This window comes from Homo sapiens, chromosome 1 (genome assembly GCF_000001405.40).
Source record: "Homo sapiens chromosome 1, GRCh38.p14 Primary Assembly".
NCBI lineage: Eukaryota > Metazoa > Chordata > Mammalia > Primates > Hominidae > Homo > Homo sapiens.
In genome coordinates this window covers 64,970,562-64,978,712 of record NC_000001.11, presented here as the reverse complement: position 1 = coordinate 64,978,712, position 8,151 = coordinate 64,970,562, and the positions used below count along the sequence as shown (strand labels likewise).

Below are 8,151 nucleotides of genomic sequence, written 5' to 3'. Positions count from 1 at the left end.
AGAATAAGCCTTGTTATTACGGCTAGTAAGTCAGCCCAGAGCAATCTGATATTCCTGTAAAACTGAATGGATTTTGAAGTAAAGCATCCTTGGGCTCACTGGCCTCAGAGGAGGCCATCATCTCATTTACCTATTTAAGAAAAACCCCATAAAAGAGTGTTCTATATGGACATTCATTATGTCTTAAGCTTTATTGATTCTGTTATGTTGCCGTTAATTATAGGAACCACGAAAGCCTTCAATTAGATTAAAGCCATAATAAATAAGATTAGTAACACTTATTCTGCTCTGTATGTTAAGTGTTTTTATAATAAACTAATGTTTATCTTTCTGGACATTACTACATTGACATCCTATACAATAATTAAATCAGATATTTTGAGTTGTTTTAGGCAAAAAGATTTGAGTGTTTTTTTCTTTGTTTGTTTTATTTTTGAGATGTAGTCTTGCTCTGCTGCCCAGGCTGGAGTGCAGTGGTGTGATCTCGGCTCACTGCAACGTGTGCCTCTTGAGTTCAAGCAATTCTCCTGCCTCAGCCTCTTGAGTAGCTGGGACTACAGGCGCGCACCACCACGCCCAGCTAATTTTTGTATTTTTAGTAGAGACGGGGTTTCACCACGTTGGCCAGGATGGTCTCAATCTCTTGACCTCATGATCTGCCTGCCTCAGCCTCCCAAAGTGTTGGGGTTACAGGCGTGAGCCACCACGTCCAGCCAAGTATATTTTAATAACTACTGACATTAACTACCATCGTTAATCCTCATTATAATTCTACAAAGTGGACATTAGTATCATCCTTACTTACCGATGACGATGAAATTAAAGCTTATGGAAATTCAGTATCTTGCTCAAGATCCCACAGTAGGGAAGCCAGGATTAAATGAGATAACACATATGTACTTAGCACAGTGCTGGGCAGATAGTGTGTTCAACAAATGCAAGTAAGAGATTCAGTATGAAGTGAAAATAAGTTAAAAATTAGGGTCAGGCGCGGTGGCTCACGCCTGTAATCCCAGCACTTTGGGAGGCCAAGACGTGTAGATCATGAGGTCAGGAGATTGAGACCATCCTTGCTAACACGGTGAAACCCCCGTCTCTATTAAAAACACAAAAAATTAGCCGGGCATGGTGGTGGATGCCTGTAGTCCCACCTAGTCGGGAGGCTGAGGCAGGAGAATGGCAGGAACCCAGGAGGCAGAGCTTGCAGTGAGCCAAGATTGCTCCACAGAGCAAGACTCCATCTAAAAAAAAAAAAAAAGATGGCTGGGTGCAGTGGCTCATGCCTGTAATCCCAGTACTTTGGGATGCTGAGACAGGAGGACTGCTTGAGCCCAGGGGTTCGAGACCAGCCTAGGCAACATAGCAAGACCTCATCTCTACAAAAAATGAAACAAAATTTAGCTGGGTGTGGTGGCATGCACTTGCAGTCATAGCTACTTGGGAGGCTGAGGTGGGAGGATGGCCTGAGCCAGGAGGTCAAGGCTGGAGTGAGCTGTGGTTGTGCCACTACACTCCAGCTTGGGCGACAGAGGGAGATCCTATCTCAACAAACAAACAAACAAACAAACAAACAAGATGAAGCTGTTGTGAGGACAATATAGAAAGTACATGTTATAAGTTTCTATGTATCTGTATCCTGTATATGTAATAGATGTATGATTAAAATTTGATTCTGAACTTCTTAGCAATCAGATCAAAGGGAGAAATACAATCAGGTATGTAAGTGATAAGGAACATTGCCCAAGAGAAGTATAGCTATTTCTGGAGCTCAGACTTAAGGGCACTCTTTCAAGACACACGATCTAATACCCCAGCAAGGACCCTAGAGAATGAGGGTAAACTTATCGTGGGGTGGCTCTTAGAAGCCTGGAAAAGGTGGTTGTTAACCTGGGTAAAGTGGAGAAGCCCAAGTTGCCCTGGCAGAAGGTATAGGAAGGATTAAAAGGCTGAGGGAAGGGGCATGTTAGGATGGAAATATCATGTAAGACCAGAAGACCCACTGAGGATTATGTTCCATGTGAGGCCCAAAGAACACGCTATTCACTAAGACCATTAAGAATACACTGTTGAGAGAGACATTGGCGTCACTAAGAAGTATAATAATAGCCTCCTCTGCAGGGCATTGCTGAAAGTAGGAGAGTGATCCCAGAGCTGAGCTCCTTAACAGCCATGTGTATGATGGGGACTCTGGCCAAGGAATGGAGACCAATTGGAAGTGTGTAACTCCCAGAAGCCATGAGGTCACAATTACCATAATAACCAACAAGGTCAGAGGAGCAGCCAAGGTGGCTTGATCTGCAGGAATTGCAAAGACGGTTAATAGTGCATAGTGTTCTTTAGAGGCAAATATGTAGCCAAAAAAGATGCTACATAAAATCTCAAAATGCATGGGTCCATGACTGTGGGGTCCACAGGTCATACATAACACCACCCAGAGGAGCTGACTTCACAGAGTGTGGAAATGGCCTTGGAAAAGCACACCTGCAGCGATAGGAGGCAACCCTCTAATAGGCTGGGATGACATTCTACAGGATATGCATTGAATCAGAGACCTCTATATGGCACTGTGTCCACAATAAAAAGAATAAATGGATCTAGGATCAAAGGGGTCAAAGTAGGCGTGGTCCCACTTACCATCACTCCCAGTGACCCAATGGGAACTGTCCTTCCAGTCCCCAAAACTCTGTGTTAATCAAGTGGTAAAGATCCTGGTCCCCAAACTCAGTGTACTCTTGCCAGGGGACACAACAAAGGTCCCATTGTATTACAAATTACTGCTGCCACCAGGGCACTTTGAATTCCTTGTCTCCAGGGACCAGCAGGAGAAAAGAGTCACCATCGTGACAGGGGGAATCCATCCTCATCAGCCCGAGGAAGTGGATGGCGCTAGGGAGGAAGATGTGTGGAACCCAGATCTCCTTGGGCGTTTCCTGGTACTCCCTTGACTCACTGGAATTAGGGTTGGATGTGTATAGTGCTCCTGGCCTGAGAAGGGTATGACTGCAAAGGGCTCAGATCCACAAGGAATGAAGATTTGGGTCACGTCACCACATAACATTTCTCAAAAAAACATCAGGACTTGCTGAGGTGATAGCTAAGGGTGAGGGAAATGGGCCATGCAAAAGGGACAGGATGTGAACCAGGTTGGGCCTGAGAACTGGCCATAGTTTGTCCTATTAACCTATCACTTCTAAGCTTCCCTTCAGGAAGAGCAGTCCATGGATTTGTGGAGAGGCTGCTCCCTGAGCATGCATGCAGAGGTGGATCTGTGCAGTCCAGTGTGTGAAATGTGGCCACCATGAAAGTGCACTGCTCAGATCTCCTGCTGTGGGAGCATGACTGACTGACAGCCCCAGCTGTTGCCTCTGTGCACACACCACCATGTTTGCACAGAGCTGGGCTTTCCATACCAATGACAGAGCATGGCAGGTATATGAAAGCTGGTCAGTTCTTTTGGGGTGCAGTGGTGCATGCCTATAGTCCTAGCTACAGAGGAGGCTAAGGCTGATCACCTGAGGCCAGGAGTTCAAGGCTGTAGTATACTATGATCACTCCTGTGAATAGCCACTCCACTCCAGCCCGGGCAATGTAGTGAGATCCCTGATTCTAAAAGGAAAAAAAAAAAACTATACAAAATTAGCTGGGCATGGTGGCACATGCTTGTAATCCCAGCTACTTGTGAGACTGAGGCAGGAGAATTGCTTGAACCTGGGAGGCAGAGGTTGCAGTGGGCCGAGATTGCATCATTGCACTCCAGCCTGGGCAATAAGGGTGAAACTCCATCTCAAAAAAACAAAAAACAAAAAACAAAACAAAACAAACAAACAAAAACAAAACAAAACAAAAAAAGAAAAGAGAATGCTGGCTAATTCCCGTGAGCCGTGGCCACTTTGGCTCAAGGACTCTGATTGGCCTAACCAAGGCTCTTTTGGAACTGTGCTATATAGTCTTTGACTCTCTATCCCCATCGTCTCTTTTTCCCTCTCTTCTTCCACAGATGTCAGAGCTGCAGCATGATCTGGAGGCTTTCCTCGCTTTCTTCTGCTTCCCCTCCCTTGATCCTTCACAGGCATTTTCCTCAATACATCTCTTGCCTGGCTAATCCTGTCTGATGAGTTTCCAGATGGACCTGAATTAAGTATGTTCTCCAGCTAGCTGCTAGCTAGTTAAAGGCAGATCCATGTGCCATACTATGGTAGGGATGGTTAGTTTATATATACCTTCTTATCTAACTTTCATAATCATTTACTGAGGTAAATGGGCTGGGTAGTATGATTGCAATTTTATGTATAAGGAAACAGGATTAATTTAGGAACTTGCCTGGGATATACACTAGTAAGTGGCAGAGCTGAGCTGAAATTTAAACTTAAGTTGGTATTACTCCAAAGTTACCTTAACTACTCATCTGTGGGGCAGTTAGACTGAGAGTGAAGTTGACATCTTATGAGAGTTGAAGTATCTGAGGAAGATAAACTTGATGTTCTACAGAAGTTGGGGGAGGAAGTTCTCCAAATCAGAATCAAGTTTTTTTCTCAAGCAATGATTTTAGGACAATACCAAATGTGTGATACCCATACCAAATGTGTGATACCTATGTATTGAATTTATGACAGAGTTACCAACGTTCTACTTTGGACAATTAACTGAAAATTTTCAGTCTAAAAACATAATGTGGACATTTATAATTATATATACATACATGATTCATTTGCTTTTCATCTTTTTTCTTTACTGAATTATAGCTTTAGCAAATATCTATTGAATTTTTATTATATGTCATGCATGATACCTTTAAGGAAAAATATATATATTCCCTTTCCTTCCCATTATATTTAATCCGATTTTTTTCTTACTTTCTGTCATTATGAATAAGTATTTTAGACAGCCTACTGTTTGCATGGTACTAAGCAATAGAAAAGGGCCTCCTTCCTGTAAGTCTAATCACACCCCACCTTAGATGGAAGCTGATTCAATGGGTTAGTGAGCATGTAGAGAAAGATCTGCTCAGTCAGTGTCAAAGTTTATTTCAGCGGTAGGTTGTAAGAGGTTCAACATTTGATTTTCCTTTTCCTTTTTTTTTTTTTTTTTTTTGCAAAGTGAGACGAGGGAAGGGATTGTTAAAAGGTGAACATTTACTTAATACTATATTTTCAATAGAAAATGACAGTTTGATTTTAAAAAAAGCAATTTTGACACTTCAGAACATCCATTGAAATCTTATAGGTTTAAATACTGAATGTGTAAAATATTTAGCTGTATAAAATATAATAGATTAAAAAAATAGAATGTTTATGCCCTCCTCCCCAATATTTATATTCCTTAAATCTTTCTTTTCTTTTCTTTTGTTCTCTTCCTTTCCCTTCCCTTCCCCTCCCCTCCCTCCTTCCCTCCCTTCCTTCCTTTCTCTCTCTTTCTTTCTCGCCCTTTCTTTCTTTCCTTCCTTCCGTCTTTCTTTCTCTCTTTCTTTCTCCTTCTTTCTTTCTTTCTTTTCCTTTCTTTCTTTCTTTTCCTTTCTTTCTTTCTTTTTCTTTCTTTCTTTCTTTTTCTTCCTTTCTTCCTTTCTTTCTTTCTTTCTCTTTTTCTTTCTTTCTTTTTGACAGAATCTTGTTCTGCTGCCCAGGCTGGAGTGCAGTGGCACAATCATGGCTCACTGTGGCCTCTACCTTCTGGGCTCAAGTAATCCTCCTGCCTCAGCCTCCTCAGTAGCTAGGACTACAGATGCATGCCACCATGCCCAGCTAGTTTTTAAATTTTTTATAGAGTCCAGGGTCTCCCTATGTTGCCCAGGCTGGTCTTGAACTCCTGGCCTCAAGCATTCCTCCCACCTTAGCCTCCAAAAGTGCTGGAGTTACAGGCGTGAGCCACCACCCAGCCTATGCAAATAATTTTTAAACAATAAATATTAAATGGTTTTGTTTCTTTTGGAGACAGGGTCTCACTCTATCACTCAGGCTGGAGTGCAGTGGTGGGATCGTGGCTCATGGCAGCTTCAACCTCCCAGGCTCAAGCGATCCTCCCACCTCAGCCTACTGAGTAGCTGGGACTACAGGCACAAGCCACCACACCTGGCTAATTTTTGTATTTTTTGCAGAGATGGAGTTTTGTCATGTTGCTCAGGCTGGTCTCAAACTCCTGAGCTCAAGTGATCCACCCGCCTTGACCTCCCAAAGTGCTGGGATTACCGGCATGAGCCACTGCATGCAGCCTAAACTGTATATTAAAACGACTGCTTTAGAACACAGTCACAGAAATGGGATTGAGTCAAATGGACTGTATAATTTTAGATTAATTCATAGATTAGTATTGGCAAGTTACTTTCTATTCAGTTTCCACAAATCTACACTGCCCTGAAAAGCATACACCCTATCAGGGTCTAAAACAGTGGACATTATAATTTTTCAAATAGTTTGTACCTTTAATGTTTTAAAAATGTATCTTGTAGCTTTAATTTGAATTTTTACATTTATTAAAGAAGTTAATGATTTTCTATATGCTTTCTCACTAGTTTCTATTTTTCTTTTAACATATCAATGTGCATGTGGAAGAGTAGGTAGGGGGAATATTATCTGTTTTTGTTCTTTGCCCACCATCTACTAGGGTCATTGTATCTTCTGTCAATTTGTAATAATGAGATCTTTAATAAAGATAGCAATATTGTATCTGTCACACTTTTTTCTTTTTTTTGAGACAAGGTCTTGTTCTGTTGCCCAGGCTGCAGTACAGTGTTTGCAAACAAACAAAAACCCACAACAATTCAACATATTTGAGTACAAGAAAATGGAGAACTTCTTCAAGTGTAGTTTTTTAGGGCAAATAACATGCCGTAAAATGCATATCAAAAGTATGATAGATAAGGCCGAGCACGGTGGCTTACGCCTGTAATCTCAGCACTTTGGAAGGCCGAGGTGGGTGGATCACTTGAGGTCAGGCGTTTGAGACCAGCCTGGCCAACATAGCGAAACCCTGTCTCTACTAAAAATACAAAAATTAGCTAGGCATGTTGGCACGTGCCTGTAATCCCAGCTACTTGGGAGGTTGAGGCAGGAGAATCGCTTGAACTCGGGAGGCAGAGTTTGCAGTGAGCCGAGATCACGCCACTGTACTCGAGCCTGGGCGACAGAGTGAAACTCCATCTCAAAAAAAAAAAAAAGTATGACAGAGAAACCTGGGCAACATGATGAAACCGCGTCTCTGCAAAAAGCAGCCAAGTGTGATGGCACGCACCTGTAGTCCCTGCTACTCAGGAGGCTGAGGCAGGAGGATCGATTGAGGCTGGGAGGTCAAGACTGCAGTGACCTGTGATTGTGCCACTGCACTCCAAAGCAAGACTCTGACTCAAAAAAAAATTATTTGCATGAAAAACTTCATTCGTTATGAAGACTTGTATAGAAACATTGAAATACACTTATGAATTACAATTAAGTTTAAGGAACAGTTTACAAAGTGACATGTATGCCATGACTATATTTATATGAAAAATATGCCCCGTGGAAAAAGATAATGGGAAGAAAACATATAATATGGTGACTGATTTATATCAGGTTTGCAAGATTACAGTCAATTTTTTCTCCAGATTCCAATTTTTGGAAACAAATTTCATGATTTGTACAATGGGGATTTAGTTTAGTTTAGTGTTGTTGAAAAAACATCATTGTTTGCATCTAACATATTTTCCCATTGTTATCTAAGCAATAGCTTTTGCAGAGGAAGACTGATGGGGACATATTCTTTTGATGAAGATTTATGTGTGAAACTGTGTGTATGATTGATGGTTGGGTGGTTGTTATTAATTTTCTAATAAGAGGCTTCTACACTGCATTTGGTTTAATTAAATTTAGATGTATGTCATGGATTGCATGTTAGAAGGAAATATTTGTATTCTTTTGTTTTACACTATTGTGTCTCTCCTATATATCATATATTCTACTGAGTGGCATTTTTTTTTTTTTTTGAGACAGAGTCTCTCTGTCGTCTAGGCTGGAGTGCAGTGGTGTGCTCTAGGCTCACTGCAACCTCCGCCTCCCAGGTTCAAGCGGTTCTCGTGCCTCAGCCTCTCGAGTAGCTGGGACTACAGGTGCATGCCACCACGCCTGGCTAATTTTTGTATTTTTTTGTATTTTTAGTAGAGACAGTTTTGCCATGTTGGCCAGG

At 41.8% G+C, this 8,151-nt stretch overlaps 1 protein-coding gene across 4 annotated transcripts in view; it reads left to right on the top strand.

Moving 5' to 3' along the window:
• Positions 1–8,151, top strand: part of JAK1 (Janus kinase 1) — a 234,518-nt gene that overhangs the window by 89,034 nt on the left and 137,333 nt on the right. The window lies entirely within an intron of this gene.